General features: G+C 36.2%; 1 protein-coding gene across 1 annotated transcript in view; it reads right to left on the bottom strand.

Moving 5' to 3' along the window:
• SLC49A4 (solute carrier family 49 member 4) overlaps nucleotides 1-19,736 on the bottom strand; it is an 86,071-nt gene that overhangs the window by 37,984 nt on the left and 28,351 nt on the right. The window contains exons 3-4 of the mRNA NM_032839.3: nucleotides 16,091-16,356; nucleotides 9,710-9,839 (exon numbers count right to left, since the gene is read on the bottom strand). Of these exons, the coding sequence (NP_116228.1) occupies nucleotides 9,710-9,839; nucleotides 16,091-16,356 (396 nt within the window). The remainder of the gene's footprint in view (nucleotides 1-9,709; nucleotides 9,840-16,090; nucleotides 16,357-19,736) is intronic.

Raw genomic sequence — 19,736 nt, 5'->3', positions numbered from 1 at the left:
TAGATGAATTAAACATAGATGCATACAAAACAGTACACATACTGCAAAAGCACAGAGACAAAGAGATACACATTAAAGGCATCTGAGAGGTGGCCTGGGTTGGGGGAGGGAAATGGGAGAAGGAAATATAAACGTAAAAAAAGTAGATGAGTAAATGTGTTTACGTGCTGGCAAATAATCTGATTAACTCAGAAAGCAATGATTTCAGGAATTCTATGAGAGACTGGGGGTAATTACACTGGTAGGAAGGGAATGGGGCATGGCAGGCCCACAGAACTCCCCTGGAGAGCCCAAAGGTAGAAGCTGGCATTCATGCAGAGTAAGCAATAAAAGACAAAGGAATGTTAGGTACTGGTGAAAAGGACTCTTTATAGAGAAGGAAGATCTTACACTTTACGGTTTAAACAGAATGAAGAGTTTGACTCTAGGGTAATTAGAAGTAAACACAAGTCAAAGGGGTTGGGGGGACAATTTTAAGTTAACTGTTTTTCCTTGTCAGAACAATCCTGTACATAACTTCTTGGCTTAAAATCCTTCAGTGACTCACGATTTCCTACAGAATAGTCCAAAATTATTAGTACGTCATAATATGACCCCAATCTACCTGTCTACCCTTCTCTATTGCTATCTAACATCTGCAATCTTTTTTTTTTTTTTTTTTTTTTTTTTTGAGACGGAGTCTCGCTCTGTCGCCCAGGCTGGAGTGCAGTGGCGCGATCTCGGCTCACTGCAAGCTCCGCCTCCCGGGTTCACGCCATTCTCCTGCCTCAGCCTCCCGAGTAGCTGGGACTACAGGCACCCGCTACCAAGCCCGGTTAATTTTTTGTATTTTTAGTAGAGACGGGGTTTCACCGTGTTAGCCAGGATGGTCTCGATCTCCTGACCTCGTGATCCGCCCGCCTCGGCCTCCCAAAGTGCTGGGATTACAGGCGTGAGCCACCGCGCCCGGCCTAACATCTGCAATCTTGTACATAACTTCTTGGCTTAACATCCTTCAGTGACTCATTTCCTAAAGAATAGTCCAAAATTATTAGTATGTCATAATATGATCCCAATCTACCTCTCTACCTTTCTCTATTGCTATCTAACATCTGCAGCTAGGTTTGCATGGAAAAAAATTTACTTAAGTGGCATTGTTTTTAAAAAACGATCATTTTAAACTGTCATCTTACAAATGTGTGCCACTAATCACAATTCAACCTAACATTTTTTTTACCTATTATGTGAAAGGCAATGTACGACGTGCTATAGAGAAGTGATTTTCAAAAACTTTTTACTGTACCCAGAGTAAGAAATTTATTTTTACTTTGTGACCTACCTATATGCAACATATATACTGAAACAAAAGTCTAAAAGAAGGTATCCTTATTACATGTGATGAAATAATATTTTCTATTCTATTTTATTCCATTCTATTTTGCTTAAGGAAAATGGCTGTCACCTCACTGAATTAGTTGGCTGTAAACCAAAGTTTGGAAAACAATATTACATAGCATTTGAAATGTGGCTGGTGCAACCAAGGAACTGAGTTTTTAATTTTATTTCATTTTAACTAATTTAAATCTAAATTTGAAGCGAAGCAGTGAAAGTTACTTTTCCATTAAACGTAACTCTGTTTGGTAGGAGTACATTTTACTTTAACAGCTGCAACACTAAGATATTATTATAGTGTGCATGCTGGGGCATGTGTTGTCTCTAGTATCATCATCCATCACTGATATTGGCGTCAATGAATGGATTCAGTTCTAATTATTTTTTTCTACACACTGATGTGACATGTGACATTGTAATTTGTGTATTTGAATATTTCCTGTAGAAAGAAGAGACCAAAAGAGAAGACGGCATGTTGCAAACTTCACAATGAACGGCAATTACAATTTGCTACAGCAGAGCAAAATAAAATGTCTGCTGTGGAAAAAAAGTTTAGAATAATTAAGTGAATAATATTAAAAGACATTTTAGCAAACACATGGTCAATTTTATAGACGTTTCTTTTCAGATCAAAAAAGAATCAAGAAAATTAGTTGCCTGAAATCAGAATTAAATGTCCAATGAACACTTAAATGATTTTTAACAGATCTGAACTAATAATTTGGCCAGCTATAAAACTGTTTGGATCCTTGTACAAAAAGAAAAGCATTTTAGATCAAGAGATGGTAAAGGAATTGTTTTTAGCTATGGAAATTTGTTAAAAATTACGAGGAAAAGAATAAAAATAGTATTCTACAGAAGTGTTAGATCTGCAATTAAGCCCCAAACAATGGCCTATAGAATGTAAGATCCTTTCTAACGATAGCAAATATCTGTTGATTCAAAATTTCAGAAACTAATTATTTATTTTTAACTTAGGATAAACAGTGCAATACAAGAGACATTGCTCAATGCATACTTTTTCAACGGTAAATTTAGTGATATCTGAAATATTCCACTTAATTCTACTGGAAATCAAGTATTTCCAGTAAAAATTTAATGTCCAAATTGACATGTGCTTTAAGTGCAAAATATCCACTGAATATCAAAGATGTTATGAATAACATATCTCATTAATAAGTTTTAATATTGATTACATGTTAAAATAATGTTTTAGATATGCTTGGTTAAACAATATGCTACTAAAATTGATTTTACTCATTTCTTAGAACTAATTTTACTTATTAATTTTACTTATTTCTAATTAATTTTACTTATTTTTCCTGTTAAAATAAGATTATTAAAAATTTTCAAAGATTTTTATCCCAAATATACAAAAAATTAAAACAAATTTTTAAAAATTTCAATAGCTTTTGGGGTACAAATGATTTTTGGTTACAAGGATGAATTGGATAGCGGTGAAGTCTGAGACTTTGGTGCACCTGCCACCTGAGTAGTGTACAGTGTACCCAATATGGAGTTTGTTACCCTTCAGTCTCCACCATCCTCTCCATTCTGAGTCTCCAAAGTCCACTATACCACTCTGTCTTTGCCTACCCTAAGCTTAGCTCCCACTTATAAGTCAGAACATACAGTGTTTGATTTTGCATTCCTGAGTTACTTCACTTAGAATAACGGCTTCCAGCTCCCTACAAGTTGATGTAAAAGCATTATTTTGTTCTTTTTTTACGGCTGAGTAGTATTCTATGGTGTATATACACTCATTTTCCTACTCATTGGTCAATGGGCACTTAGGTTGGTTCCATATCTTTGGAATTGCAAATTGTGTTGGTATAAACATGTATGTGCATGTGCATACGTCTTTTTCATATAAAGACTTTTCTCCTTTGGGTAGACACCAGTAGTGGGATTGCTGGGTTGAATGGTAGATCTCCTTTTAGTTCTTTAAGGAATCTCCATACTGTTTTGCATAGAGGTGGTACTAACTCACATTCCTACCAGCAGTGTATAAGCATTCCCTTTTCACCACATCCATGTCAACATCTATTGTTTTTTGACTTTTTAATAATGGCTATTCTTGCAGGGGTAAGGTGGTATCTAATTGTGGTTTTAATGTGCATTTCCCTGATGATTAGTGATGTTGAGCATTTTTTCCTATGTTTGTTAGTGTTTGTATGTCTTCTTCTGAGAAATGTCTCCTGGTCATGACATTTGCCCACTTTTTGATGAGATTTTTTTTTTCTTGCTGATCTGTTTGAGTTCCTTTGTAGATTCTAGATATTAGTCTCCTGTCAGATACAGAGTTTGCAAATATTTTCGCCCATTCTGTGGGCTGTTTGTTTACTCTGATGATTACTTCTTTTGCTGTACAGAAACTTTTTGTTTAATTAGGTCCCGTTTATTTTTGTTTTTGTTGCATTTGCTTTTGGGGTATTAGTCATGAATTCTTTGCCTAGGCCAATGTCCAGAAGTGTTTCTCCAACATTATCTTCTAGAATTTTTATGGTTTCAGATCTTATATTTAAGTCTTTGATGCATCTTGAGTTTATTTTTGTATAAGGTGAGAGATAGGGATCCAGTTTCATTCTTCTACTTGTGGCTTGCCAGTTTTCCCAGAACTATTTATTAAATAGGGTGTCCTTTCTCCAATTTATGTTTTTGTATGCTTTGCTGAAGATTAGTTGGTTGTATGTATTTGGCTTCATTTCTGATTTCTCTATTCTGTTCCATTGGACTGTCCCATTGACTACTTTTATACCAGTACCATGCTGTTTTAGTAACTATACCCTTGTAGTATAATTTGAAGTCAGGTAATGTGATGCCTCCAGATTTGTTCCTTTTGCTTAGGATTGCTTTGGCTATTTGGACTCTTTTTTGGTTACATATGAATTTTAGGATTTTTTTTTCTAATTCTATGAAAAATGATGTTGCTATTTTGATAGTAACTGCACTGAATCTGTAGATTGCTTTGGGCAGTATGGTCATTTTCACAATATTGATTCTTCCAATCCATGAACATGGAATGTGTTTCCATTTTTTTGTGTCATCTATGATTTCTTTTTATTTTATTTTATTATTATTATACTTTAAGTTTTAGGGTACATGTGCACAATCTGCAGGTTTGTTACATATGTATACATGTGCCATGTTGGTGTGCTGCACCCATTAACTCGTCATTTAGCATTAGGTATATCTCCTAATGCTATCCTTCCCCCCTCCCCCCACCCCACAACAGTCCCTGGTGTGTGATGTTCCCCTTCTTGTGTCCATGTGTTCTCATTGTTCAATTCCCACCTATGAGTGAGAACATGCGGTGTTTGGTTTTTTGTCCTTGTGACAGTTTGCTGAGAATGATGGTTTCCAGCTTCATCCATGTCCCTACAAAGGACATGAACTCATCATTTTTTATGGCTGCATAGTATTCCATGGTGTATATGTGCCATATTTTCTTAATCCAGTCTATCGTTGTTGGATATTTAGGTTGGTTCCAAGTCTTTGCTATTGTGAATATTGCCACCATAAACATACGTTTGCATGTCTTTATAGCAGCATGATTTATAATCCTTTGGGTATATACCCAGTAATGCGATGGCTGGGTCAAATGGTATTTCTAGTTCTAGATCCCTGAGGAATCACCACACTGACTTCCACAATGGTTGAACTAGTTTACAGTCCCACCAACAGTGTAAAAGTGTTCCTATTTCTCCACATCCTCTCCAGCACCTGTTGTTTCCTGACTTTTTAATGATCGCCATTCTAACTGGTGTGAGATGGTATCTCATTGTGGTTTTGATTTGCATTTCTCTGATGGCCAGTGATGATGAGCATTTTTTCATGTGTTTTTTGGCTGCATTAATGTCTTCTTTTGAGAAGTGTCTGTTCATATCCTTTGCCCACTTTTTGATGGGGTTGTTTTTTTCTTGTAAATTTGTTTGAGTTCATTGTAGATTCTGGATATTAGCCCTTTGTCAGATAAGTAGGTTGTGAAAATTTTCTCCCATTCTGTAGGTTGCCTGTTCACTCTGATGGTAGTTTCTTTTGCTGTGCAGAAGCTCTTTAGTTTAATTAGATCCCATTTGTCAATTTTGGCTTTTGTTGCCATTGCTTTTGGTGTTTCAGACATGAAGTCCTTGCCCATGCCTATGTCCTGAATGGTATTGCCCAGGTTTTCTTCTAGGGTTTTTATGGTTTTAGGTCTAACGTTTAAGTCTTTAATCCATCTTGAATTAATTTTTGTATAAGGTGTAAGGAAGGGATCCAGTTTCAGCTTTCTACATATGGCTAGCCAGTTTTCCCAGCACCATTTATTAAATAGGGAATCCTGTCCCCATTGCTTGTTTTTGTCAGGTTTGTCAAAGATCAGATAGTTGTAGATATGCGGCATTATTTCTGAGGGCTCTGTTCTGTTCCATTGGTCTATATCTCTGTTTGGTACCAGTACCATGCTGTTTTGGTTACTGTAGCCTTGTAGTATAGTTTGAAGTCAGGTCACATGATGCCTCCAGCTTTGTTCTTTTGGCTTAGAATTGACTGGGCATTGCGGGCTCTTTTTTGGTTCCATATGAACTTTAAAGTAGTTTTTTCCAAGTCTGTGAAGAAAGTCATTGGTAGCTTGATGGGGATGGCATTGAATCTATAAATTACCTTGGGCAGCATGGCCATTTTCACGATATTGATTCTTCCAACCCATGAGCATGGAATGTTCTTCCATTTATTTGTATCCTCTTTTGTTTCATTGAGCAGTGGTTTGTAGCTCTCCTTGAAGAGGTCCTTCACATCCCTTGTAAGTTGGATTCCTAGGTATTTTATTCTCTTTGAAGCAATTGTGAATGGGAGTTCACTCATGATTTGGCTCTGTTTGTCTGCTATTGGTGTATAAGAATGCTTGTGATTTTTGTACATTAATTTTGTATCCTGAGACTTTGCTGAAGTCGCTTATCAGCTTGAGGAGATTTTGGGCTGAGACGATGGGGTTTTCTAGATATACGATCATGCCATCTGCAAACAGGCACAATTTGACTTCCTCTTTTCCTAATTGAATACCCTTTATTTCCTTCTCCTGCCTGATTGCCCTGGCCAGAACTTCCAACACTATGTTGAATAGGAGTGGTGAGAGAGGGCATCCCTGTCTCATGCCCATTTTCAAAGGGAATGCTCCTAGGACCAGATGGATTCACAGCCGAATTCTACCAGAGGTTCAAAGAGGAGCTGGTACCATTCCTTCTGAAACTATTCCAATCAATAGAAAAAGAGGGAATCCTCCCTAACTCATTTTATGAGGCCAGCATCATCCTGATACCAAAACCTGGCAGAGACACAACCAAAAAAGAGAATTTTAGACCAATATCCTTGATGAACATCGATGCAAAAATCCTCAATAAAATACTGGCAAACCGAATCCAGCAGCACATCAAAAAGCTTATCCACCATGATCAAGTGGGCTTCATCCCTGGGATGCAAGGCTGGTTCAACATATGCAAATCAATAAATGTAATCCAGCATATAAACAGAATCAAAGACAAAAACCACATGATTATCTCAATAGATGCAGAAAAGGCCTTTGACAAAATTCAACAACCCTTCATGCTAAAACTCTCAATAAATTAGGTATTGATGGAATGTATCTCAAAATAGTAAGAGCTATCTACGACAAACCCACAGCCAATATCACACTGAATGGGCATCTATGATTTCTTTCAGCAGTGTTTTGTAGTTATTGTAGAGATATTTCACCTTCTTGGTTAAGAATATTCCTAGGTATTTTAATTTTTTTGCAGCTATTGTAAAGAGGACTGAGTTATTCATTTGATTCTTGCCTTTCTCGTTGTTGGTGTAGAGCAGTGCTACTGATTTGTGTACACTGATTTTGTAACCTGAGAGTTTACTGAATTCATTTATCAAATCTAGGAGTCTTTTGGAAGAGTCTTTAGGGTTTTTTAGGTATATGATCATATCATTGGCAAACAGTGATCATTTGACTTCCTCTTTTTCCAATTTGGATGCCCTTTATTTCTTTCAGTTGCCTGACTGTTCTGGCTAGGACTTCTAGTACTTTCGAACTGAAGTGGTGAATGTGGGCATCCTTGTCTTGTTCCAGTTCTCAGGGGAAATACTTTCAAGTTTTCCCATTCAGTATGATGTTGGCTGTGGGTTTGTCATATACAGCTTTTATTTTGAAGTATGTCCCTTCTATGCCTAGTTTGTTGAGGGTTTTTTTTTTATCATAAAGAGATGCTACTGAATGCCTTTTCTGCATCTATTATGATCATACTGTTTTTGTTGTTAATTCTGTTTATGTCATATATCACATTTGACTTGCGTATTTTAAACAATCTCTGGTATGAAACCCACTTGATCATGGTGTATTATCTTTCTGATGTGCTGTTGGATTCAGTAAGCTAGTGTTTTTATTAAGGATTTTTGTATCTATGATCATCAAGGCTATTGGCCTGTAGTTTTCTTTTTTGTTATGTCTTTTTCCGGTTTTGGTATCAGGGTGACACTGGCTTCATAGAATGAGTTAGGGAGGAGTCCCTCTTTCTCAATCTGGTTTTGGTATCAGGGTGATGGCTTCATAAAATGAGTTAGGGAGGATTCCTGCTTTCTCAATCTTTTGGAATAGTTTCAGTAGGATTGGTATAAATTCTTCTTTGAAAGTCCGGTAGAATTCAACTGTGAATCCATCTGGCCAATCTGACCATAACCTTTTCTTGGTTGGCAATTTTTAAGTTACTGAATCAATCTCACGGCTCATTATTGGTCTGTTCAGGGTTTCTATTTCTTCCTGATTTAATCTAGGAGGGTTGTATGTTTCCAGAAGTTTATCCATTTCCCCTAGATTTTCTAGTTTGTGTCCATAGAGGTGTTCATAGTAGTCTTGAATGATCTTTTGTATTTCTGTGGTATTGACTGTAACGTCTCCATTTTCATTTTTAATTGAGCTTAACTGAATCTTCTTTTCTTGGTTAATCTAGCTAATGGGGTATCAATTTTGTTTATCTTTTCAAATAGCCAACTTTTTGTTTTATTGATCTTTTGTATTTTTTGTTTCAATTTTATTTAGTTCTGCTCTGATCTTTGTTTTTTCTTTTTTTCTGCTGGCTTTGGTTTTGGTTTGTTATTGTTTCTCTAGTTTCTTGAGGTGTGACATTAGGTTGTCAATTTGTAATCTTTCAGACTTTTTGATATAGGCATTTAGTGCTATAAACTTTCCTCTTAGCGCTGCTTTTGCTGTATCCCAGAAGTTTTAATAACTTACATCACTATTACGGTTCATGTTAAAGAATTTAATTTTCATCTTGATTTCATTGTTAACCCAAAAATCATTCAGGAGCAGATTGTTTAATTTCCGTGTGTTTGTACAGTTTTGAGGGTTCCTTTTGGAGTTGATTTCTAGTTTTATTCCACTGTGGTCACAGAAGATACTTGATATGATTTTGATTTATAAAAATTTATTGAAGACTATCAGAAAATGTAAGATTACTTATGTGGCTTGCATTTTATTCCTACTGGACAGTATTACTGCAGCAGATGTAAAGACATAGATACTGCTTCTTGACCACAAGAAACTTACCATCTGGGGAGAGGAACCCAAGAAAAGAAAGAACCAATTTAGAGAGAGTTGTTGAAGAATCAATAAAAACTCATAACAACTACCTGTGAAAAAATTTCAAATGACAAAGTCTAGTGGTCCAACTGCAAATCATAATCAATAGTGGTATTTTATATATCCCAAGAATTAAATTCAGTACTGGGCATTTGAGCCTTCAAGAGTAGAGTTTAATCTAACTATACTAAGTTATACCAATAAAATTAAATAATATATTTGGTTTCTTAAAGTATGATCCTACTGCTCGTACAGAAAATGATTTCAGGTGATATGTGAATAATATTATTTATTTTATTCACTTTGTATTGACTACCACCTGCTTATTTTAATATGCCTTAACAAATACATAATAAGTTAAAATAATGTGCATATTAGGAAAAGTATAACACATAGAATTCATGATTTCACAGACACTATTGTATGATATGGGATTCTTTAAAAAAGAAAATTATTTAAGAAAAATAAAATATTTGATTTTTAAAACATTAAGCAAATAATAGTATAGGTGATATGTAGAGAAGGCAAAAATTATAGAAGTTTTTGTTTTTGGTGATTTTTCAAGATAGATTTCTGGTAGGAAATCTAAAATATTCAATTAGTATTTTATCAATTACTTACAACCTAATTAATAGGTTGCTGAAAAATTACTATCTTAAATTATTTTTTAAAAATCTGAAGTTACCTTGAAGGTGTCAGTCAAAGCCATCCAGTGACTCTCAGTATATTTACCTTAATAATCTACAAACGCTTCTCCGATAACTCAGCCGCTGGCTAGCTGCAGCAACACTGGGAGGAAGAGGAGGTCGGGGTGGGAAATAAGCTAGTGTTGCAGAAAATATTAAGCAGACAACTCCAAATTCTGAAAGAAAAAAATAGGTAAAATGTTAACCAGGAAACACAAAAAGTTGAAGACTTCAAGTATTTATTTGTTTTTTGAAACAGGGTCTCACTCCGTCACCCAGGCTGGAATGCAGTGGCATGAACATGGCTCACTACAGACTTGACCTCCTGGGCTCAAGTGATCCTCCTGCCTCAGCCTCCCAAGTAGCTGGGACCATAGATGCATGCCACCATACCAGGCTAATTTTTATTTTTTATTTTTGTAGAGATAGGGTCTCACCATGTTGTCCAGGCTGGTCTCGAACTCCTGAGCTCAAGTGATGTTCAAGCCATTCTCCTGCCTCAGTCTCCCAAAATGCTGGAATTACAGGTGTGGGCCACCATGCCCGGCCTCTCAGGTATTTATTTATCTAACAAATATTTACTAAGTATCAACTGAGTCTGAGACGTATAGAGATAAGCAAAATATAGTATCTAGCCAAGATTGCTCAGTCTAGTAAAAACAAAATTGAATATATAAAAATATAAATTTCAACAAGTAATTGGTAAAGAGGTTATACTAACAATGATGTATATGCTGATACTATGGCACACAGATAAAAAGACTGAGGAAGTAAACAAATGTTGTCTTATGGAGAAAACATTAAAAGCCAACAGTACCTTACTATAAAAGAGATTGTGAAACAGGTCTAGGATGATTGTCTAATAAGTGTGGCATTCAGAAAAAAAAACTGGTAAGAAATAACAGGATAGGAGGTTTGTTTGATTCATAATAGGATAGTCTGATGCATTGTATAAGACAGACCCAATTTACAGACTGTATGGAAAATTTGAACAAGAAAGCATCCAAAAATAAGAGACCAAGAGACAGGGAATAGAATTTAAACACAAGACTAGCTAATGTAGAGTATTAAACAATCAGAAGTAAAATGAATACCCAAACAATCTTAATTTGTCCCCATTATAGAAGGGAAGGTTCTAGCATCCCAATCTTTCCCTCTATAATTCTGGCACTTGGAAGTTCCAGCTTTTGATAACTGTGTCCAATTTTGTAGAAAAGCACAGCCCTAGTAGAAAAGTCAGGAAACTTGGAATATAGACCTGTCTATGCCATTAATTAGCTTGTAATTTGAACAAATCCCTTAATCTTTCTAGGCCAATAAACAGATTGAATTTAGTGATTTCTAGAGGTCCTTTCAGTTGGATAATTTTAATTCTAGGGCTATATTCTTAGCAAAAAAGGACAACATTCCTATAAGACAATTAACCACAGATAATTCTGTTTAATTCAGTTAGAAATTTAAAGATTCCTATTTTTTTAAACACAAGATTGTTAGCAGATTCCTTTTTTTTCTTTCTTTTTTTTTTTGGTGTTTTCAGTCTGTTTAGTCTTTGTCAATCTAAGGAGCAACAAGAAGTTAATGAACTGTTCTAATTTAGAGTTATTTTAATTATTAGTAATACTGAATGAGCACCTAAAATATGCATATTGGCCACCTGTATGTCTTGCATGATTGCCTTATTCATATTCTTTGACCATCTACTGGCATTTTTGTAAACAACTTCACTGAGATATAATTCACATGACATACAATGCACACATTTAAAGTGCACAATCTAGTGGTTTTTCATTTACCAGCAGAATTGTACAATCATAACCACAATCAATTTTAGAATTTTTTCAACAACCCAAAAAGAAACTCTGTACCCATTACTCTCAATCTCCCAGCCCTAGGCAACCTCTGATCTACTTTTAGTCCCTATAGATTTGAGTATTATGGACATTTCCTATAAATGGAATCATATAATATGTGGTCTTTTATGACTGGCTTCTTTCACTTTGCATAATGTTCTCAAGGGTCATTCATGTTGGAGTATGTATCAGTACTTTAGTATTTTTTATTGTCAAATAATATTCCATTGCACAGATATATCACATTTTGTTCATCCACTTATCAGTAGATAGACATCTGGGTTGTTTCCACTTTTTCGCTATTATAAATAATGCTCATGTATACATTTTTACATGGGTGTATGTTTTCATTTCACTTGGATATATATCTAGAAATGTAATTTCTGGATTGTATGGTAATCTTTGTTTAACATTTTGAGGAACTGTGAAACTGTTTCCAATGCGGCTACACCATTTTACATTCCCACATATGGGAATGTATGAAGGTTCTAATTTCTCCACTTTCTTGCCAGTACTTTATTATTTTCCATTTTATTGATTCTAGCAATCCTACTGGGTGTGAAGTGTATCTTACCATGGTTTTGATTTGCATTTCCCTAATGACTAATGACACTGAGTATCTTTCATGTGTTCGATGAACATTTGTGTATTTTCTTGGGAGAAATGTGTTTGAGTCCTTTACCCACTTCTTAATGGCGTTGTCTTTCTGTTGTTGAGTTGTAAGAATGCTTTATATAATCTGAATATAAGTCCCTTATCAGATATATGATTTGCAATTATTTTCTCCCATTCTGTGGACTGTCTTTTTCACTCTCTGGGTTCTTTGAAGCACAAAAATTTTAAATTGTGATGAAGTCTAATTTATCTTTTTTCCTTTGTCACTGGTGCTTTTGGTGTCTTTTATAAAAAGGCTTCACCTAATCCAAGGTCATAAAGATTTACTTGTTAGTTTTCTTCCAAGAGTTTTATAGTTTTAGCTCTTACATTTAGGTTTGAGTTAACAACGGGGTTCAAATTCATTCTTTTGAATTTGGATATTCAGTTATTCCTGTACCATTTACTGAAAAGACTTTTTCCCTTATTATCTTGGGACCCTTCTGAAAAATCAATTAACCATAAATGTAATGGCGTTTCTACGCAGTATCACTTTTTTAGAATCTCATTTCTATTCTACTGATTTATATGCCTATCCTTATGCCAGTACTATGCTATCTTATAGCTTTGTAATAAGTTTTGTAGTTGAGAAGTCTGAGTTCTCCAATTTTGTTCCTTTTCAAGATTGTTTTGGATATTGCTGGTCCTTTGCATTTCCATGTAAATTTCAGGATCGCCTTGTCGATTTCTGCAACAAAGGCAGCTGGGATTTTTAAAGGGATTGCACTACATTTGCAGATAAACTTGGGGATATCTTCACAATATTAAACCTCCCAACATGAACATGGAATGCCTTTCCATTTATTTAGGTCTTTTTAAATTTCTTTCAACAGTGGTAGTCTTCAGATTATAAGTTCTGCACTTCATTTGTTAAGTTTATTCCTAAATCTTTTATTCTTTTTGATGCTATTGCAAATTGAATTGCATGTTAAGATTGTTCATTGCCAATATATAGACAATTGATTTTTACATATTAATCTTGTACCATAAAACTTTGCTAAAATCTTTTTTTAGATCTAATAGTTTTTAGTGAACTCCAGATAATTTTCTATATTCAAGATCATTTTCAACAGAGATATTCTTTACTACTTCCCTTACAATCTGGATATCTTTTGCTTTTCTTGTTCAGTGATACTGCCTAGAACCTCCAGCACAGTTTTAAAAAGGCATGGAAAAATGGACATCCTTGTCTTGTTCATAACCCTAGAAGTGAAATGTGATGTTACCTCCAGGTTTTTTGTTTGTTTGTTTGTTTGTCACCCAGGCTGGAGTGCAGTGGTGTGATCTTGGCTCACATTATAACCTCTGCCTCCCAGGCTCAAACGATTCTCGTGCCTCAGCCTCCCGAGTAACTGGGATTACAGGCATGTGCCATCATGTCCGGCCATTTTTCTTTTTAGTAGAGATGGGGTTTTGCTATGTTGGCCAGGCTGGTCTCAGACTTCTGGCCTCAAGTGATCCTCCCTTGTCGGCCTCCCACAGTGCTGGGATTACAGGCACAAGCCACTGTGCCAGGCCTCTTGTGGGTTTCCAATAGATGCTTTTTATTAGGTTGAGAGAGTTCCTGTCTATTCCTAATTCATTGATTGTTTCCAGTTCATTGAAAGGGTGTTGGATTTGTCAAATGCTTTTTCTTCATCTTTTAAGATGATCATGTTTTTTCCCTTTTATCTGCTGATATGATACATTCCATAAATTGAGTTTTGAATGTTAAACCAACCTTGCATTGCTGGAATAAATCCCATTTAGTCATGGTATATCATCCGTTTTATGATATATGTTGCTGGAATCAGTTTGCTAGTATTTTGTTCAGGACTTTTGTGTTTATACTCATCTGAGATTTGGATCTGTAGTTTACTTTTCTTATGTTACCTTTGTCGGGAATAATTTAAGAATCTCTAACTTTTTAAAATGACAATTCTAGTACAGTATTTTGAATAGAATGAAGTCCTGGGACAGTCTTTCAGAAAGGCAGATTGGCAAACATGAAAGCAATGAAGAAGTAACTGGGAAGCTTTGAGCAGGGGCTTCTGCTTGACTGCATGAGAACCATGAGCTGCATGTACTGCATTAATATATGCTTAACAGTGCTTAACATCATGTAAAAAATACAATCATTGCTTAGGTTTTCAATAAAAATAATAACATGACCAAAATAAAGTTTAAAACTTATGTTTCACCTGCGTTCAGTTTTATTTACTCATTTTTACATTTTTATTTTTTCTTTAAAAGGAATAAGTTGTGTAAAGGAGGTGAAATGCTTTATATACTGCTGCTACCCTTGCTTTCAGTTTTAATCCTTCTAAACCATATTTTGAAATGTAAATGTCATCAAATAACTCTCTGACATACAGTTCTTCAGAGTGTGGCCTTTGCCTACAATGTGGTGAACCTTAAACCCTTCAGGCCTGCTTAGAAGGTTTGCGTGGGGCTTGCCTTCCTCTCTAGCTTCACCTACTAGTACTCTCACTAGATCTAAGCCACTCTGGGCTTGAACGTACCAGGGTGTCTCCCTTCACTGGACTTCTCCTTTAAGTTTCCTCTCTACAGTGTAATCTTCCTGCCTACTGTATTTAACCATCGTTCTCTCATTCCTCAGGCTCTGATTTAGAAGCTGCATCTCCAGGAAGCTCTACTTTACCTCCAAAATCTGGGTTAGGTGCTCCTTCTCCGAGCTCTCAGAGCAATTGTAGGCCTTTGGTTTATAATACTCCCTGCTCTATTTTACAATTGTTTACCTGTCTGTACCATTCAGGACACTGTAAGTTCTGTTACACCAGGAACCATGCCTATCTCAGTGACTCACATAGTGACAGATACATAGGCGTTCAAAACATGTTTGTGAAATTTATAAGTGAACAAAAAAGTTAAAACAAGGTTCAGTATAATTGGGTCCCTTATCATTCCAGTCTCATTTTCTGCCACTTGTTACCCATACCCAAACACAAACATTTACACCACTCCAGCCATACTCAATTACTTGCAGTTCCCTAGACATACTGAGCTCTCTCATACCTTCCCTGCCTTTGCAGTTACTGTTCCCTCTGTATGGAATACACTAACCACTCAAACACTTGGTGAACTCCTACAAAATTCTTAACTTTAATTATTACATTCTTGTTGAAGCCTTTCCTGCCCCCTCAACTTCCCTACAAACCCAGGCAAGTTAGGTCTCCCAACCTCTGTATATCTCTACTTGTATTATAATTGTCTCATCGTTGACCTTACCAATTCCTAGTGCTTAGCACAGTGCTTGGCATATAGTAAACACCTACAAAAAGTGTTCTGAATGCAGAGGAAATAACAAACAGGGATATAGAGAGAGGGGCTATATCTATGAAAATCCGTAGGAGACTATACTATAAGAGTGGACCAGGGCTTGACTCTAGAAATAAAATAATTCAAAGAATATTTTAGAAAGGTCAGTATCCCTGATAACAGACTAAACATACAGAGAGTAGGAAATGAGGATAAACTGTAGATGATCAAGGTAAATAAGGTTACAGAACATGGCTAATAATGGAGAAACTACAAGGGAGAAAACGGGCTTAACACCTACCAACAGATAGATGTTTAACAAAAGGTTATTGTCAGTCATGACGTTTTATATCCTGATAAGATATCTAGAGAGGACATAGAAAATGTGTTATACAGTACTTAACCGTAAATAGATGAAAAGACTAAAATTAAGAAATACCCCTCCATGTGGCAATAATAAATTTAAAACTTAACTTCCTAGGAAGAGTGTTCAGTTTTAATTAAGCATCTCTATATCATATGACAAGGAATGCACAGTGCATGTAAATTTACATATTAGTCCTCTCAAGTATTTCATATGAAGGTATCTGTTATACAAAAAGTAGAGTGAAGATGATTGAGATAAAAGACAAAGTATAACAAGAAGAAAATAAACTTCAAATTACCTGCATATAACACAGCCTCTATGCGATCTTTAATATGCGCCCTGCTGCTCTCTGCAGCAAGAAGAGGTGATGTCCCATTGGGAGCTGGAACAACAAGTGGTCCAACTAAAAATGCACATGCTCCCCCAAGATAACTGAGCATTGATGCAATAGCTGTGGCTGTGGCCCTTTCATCTGCAGAAAACCACGTCGTAGAGAGAAATGGTGCTGCATTCATTACAGTTGGACCTGCCAATCCATTTAACATCTGTCCTCCATGAATTAATCTGGAATTTAAAAATTAAAAGGCTGTGAGGTATTTGAAACAGGCATTTTCTAAGACAAAAAGAAATGAGCCAAACAGCAGTTTTTAACTATGGCAATAAGTATACATATCTGTAAAGAATATGACATGCCTAAAAGACATGTTGATTTACCTTCTAAAACAGGTATGTTGACTCCCTATGAGGGAGGATCAAACATAGTAATAGTTACCATTTATTCATTTCACAAATATTTACTGTGACCTATGATTTGTGCCACACATCAAACTAAGTACTTCCTGTAAGTACTTAGAACCTTGCTTCATTTAGTTGTTATAACAACACTAAGTGGTAGCTATTATGATCCCCATTTACTGAGATGAAAAATCCTAGATTTGGAAAGATTAAGAAACTTGCCCAAGCGCTGACAGGCAGAGCTGAAGTTTAGATCCAGGTCTGATTCCAAAATCCATACTCCTTCTACTAGACTGCCACTCATTAACAGACCTACTAAGTGCCACCAGCCTTATAGTTGAGCTCAACATTTCATACCCACTCTTTGCCAAATGGTGGAAATACAAAAAATGAAAGACTCATTAAAATATCTTCTAATAGAAAAGGTAGTTGAGGAACCGGAGGACCTGGGTTCCAGCTGAGCTCAGGGCTAGCCCTGAACAATACCTAACTTTGTGGGGTTCCATTTCTTCCCTCGTGAAATGAGGAGATCAGCTGAAGTTGAATATGCATTTACGGAGCATCTGTTAGGTTAGGGTACTGTAATGACAGGACCACTAAGTCCCTTCCAGTTCTCATACTCTAATTCTGACTTTAATTGTAAGGGTTAATGAAAAGCAGTTTCTTTTTTCCATTCCATTTGTTCTCTTGCTGACCTTTTCCCAATATTCTCCTTAGCACTCCTGTTCCTTGTTGACCAACTCTTTTCTCCCATTACTCCCTCACCCCCAATATACACATTCACATTTAAGAGCTGCCTTGAAATAGAAAAGAGGCCAGAAGTCCAAAGAAAGCATAGACAAGAAAGGGAGATGTGTCGACCTCTCTTGCCCTGGAGGTAGAGGAAAGGGAAGGGACAGTACATGTGACATTTCATGATATGAACTCATCTTTTTCTTCTGCTTGTTTTGCTTTCTAAGCACTATGTGAGTCTCAAATCCTCTTTTTTTTTTTAAACTGCCATCTTAAGCCAGTTAGAAAAGTTTGCTGAATGCCGAAGAGAAAAATAAACAGGCACGTGGGGAGAGGAAGGGCCCTAATGTAGAAACAGAAGTGAGTGGGAAGTGAAATATGTGAATTAGGGCTGCCCATAGCTTCGTTATGTTGGAAAAATTATATGAAGGCAACATAGCTCCAAGTGTCATTGATATTGATATTACTAAATTAAAAAAACTCAAGACATTTAAAAATCTCTCTGTGTAAGGGGAATTATTTTCCAGATGACAGAAATAATTTAAACTGTTTATGTCCTCCAAAAGCCAGTGGAACCAAAGCTGTCCCACAGCAATTTTATTACAGAAATGTTCCAGCAATAACGTCATTAAGTGGTTTTAATCATTGCATGTGATGGCACAACAATGAGACAGTGTGTGATGACCCATAAAGTAACTGCTTTGATATTTGATACTTTTAATGAGGTATTAGACTCATGTCAACTAGAAGGCTTGGAATGAGTAAACTTTACTATGTCTAAAAATGTTAAGGGTAGAAGGAGAACATGGAAGAAATAAATCAAAAACAAACAAACAAAAAGACTGATAAGAAAGCAGGACTCCTGGCTGGGAACAGTGGCTCATGCCTGTAACCCCAGCACTTTGGGAGGCCGAGGTGGGTGGATCACTTGAGGCCAGGAGTTCAAGACCAGCCTGGCCAACATGACAAAACCCCACCTCCTCTAAAAATACAAAAATTAGCTGGGCATGGTGACGCATGCCTGTAATCCCAGCTACTCAGAAGGCTGAGGCGCGAGAATCACTTGAGCTTGGGAGGCAGAGGTTGCAGTGAGCAGAGATTGTGCCACTGCACTACAGCCTGGGCGACAGAGCAAGATTTTGTCTCAAAAAAAAAAAAAAAAAAAAGAAGGAAAAAAAAAGAAAGGAAAGGAAAGGAAGAAAGGAAGGGAGGGAGGGAAGGAAGGAAGGAAAGACGAGAGGGAGGGAGGGAAGGAAAAAGAAAGAAAGAAAGAAAGAGAAAGAAAAGAAAGGAAAGGAAAGACAGGAAAGAAAGAAAGAGAAAGAAAGAAGAGAAGAGAAGAGAAGCAAAGTGAAGCTCCTCATAGTTAAGGTATAAAACTCAAATTATTGCCATGGCTTAACTCTTTGTCACCTCTCAGTGGAATCACAAATAGACTATTACCCAAGCAGCAGAGTCTGACCTAAGAGTCAGAGAATGTGTGAGTTTCAGATAATTTAAGGGCCATCCAAATCCAGTTTACTTGACTCTTAGACCAGAACATTTCTCACTACGATACAGTACGTGTTAAAGTAGTATCCAAAGAAGGAATAGCACCAGGGACACTTCAGATGGGTTCTTGGTTTAAAGGTCCTTGAACTTGGGAGGCCAATCTAGGGCATATAAGTTAGAGTTAAAAACCATCTCAGGAATTAAAATAAGCTTATGTGGTGTTGCAAAGTTACTCCAATTTTAGATAATTACATGCTTTTGTATTAAAAGTCATCATACATACACTCTTCATAAACAAGCTCAGTAGGAGAACTAGTTATCCTCTGAATTCATGAGAAACCTGGCAGGGAAACCCAGTCCCACTCCTCCCAGCACTTTGTAGTTTTCCAGAACTTAGTCCTGCTCCTTCTGACACTTATATCCTAGCGTCCCTCAGGGTTCAGCAGCTTCTAATGTGTTACAACTGGTCATAAGCACTGTTGTCCTGGGGACTGTGATGTTACAGTAATCTGTAATATTAAGATTGTCATGTTTGCCTGACACTATTTTCTACCACCTACCATTAACAAACATCATTTTACGAAATAAATCTGTAAAAAGATATGTAAAAATAAAATTCTGCTTTATACATTAAGTCTAATTTTTCCATTTAATAGGAATGCAAATTAGAGATACATTTTTTCTGGAAAAATATTGACCCTAAGACATCATAAAATCATATGAACATTACCATAACCTCTTTAAAATGATAATAAAGGAAATAAAATAATTATAAAATGGTAACTATGCATTTATTACTTAATTCAACAAACATATATTGAGTAGTCACCATGTGTTGGGTAGGCACTGTGACAGGCAAATGAGAATGTAAAATTAAAAAGCTAAAGCCCTTGCCCTTAAGAATCCCTAAAAGTACAGTGATACTAGCACTGTAGCAGGAATATAAAGAAAAAGAAGGCAATAGTTAGGCCTTGCCCTATGCTTAT

The sequence above is a fragment of the Homo sapiens genome, chromosome 3 (genome assembly GCF_000001405.40).
Source record: "Homo sapiens chromosome 3, GRCh38.p14 Primary Assembly".
NCBI classification, from domain to species: domain Eukaryota; kingdom Metazoa; phylum Chordata; class Mammalia; order Primates; family Hominidae; genus Homo; species Homo sapiens.
The sequence above is the reverse complement of the archived record's forward strand: the minus strand, read 5'-3'. Positions and strand labels throughout refer to the sequence as shown.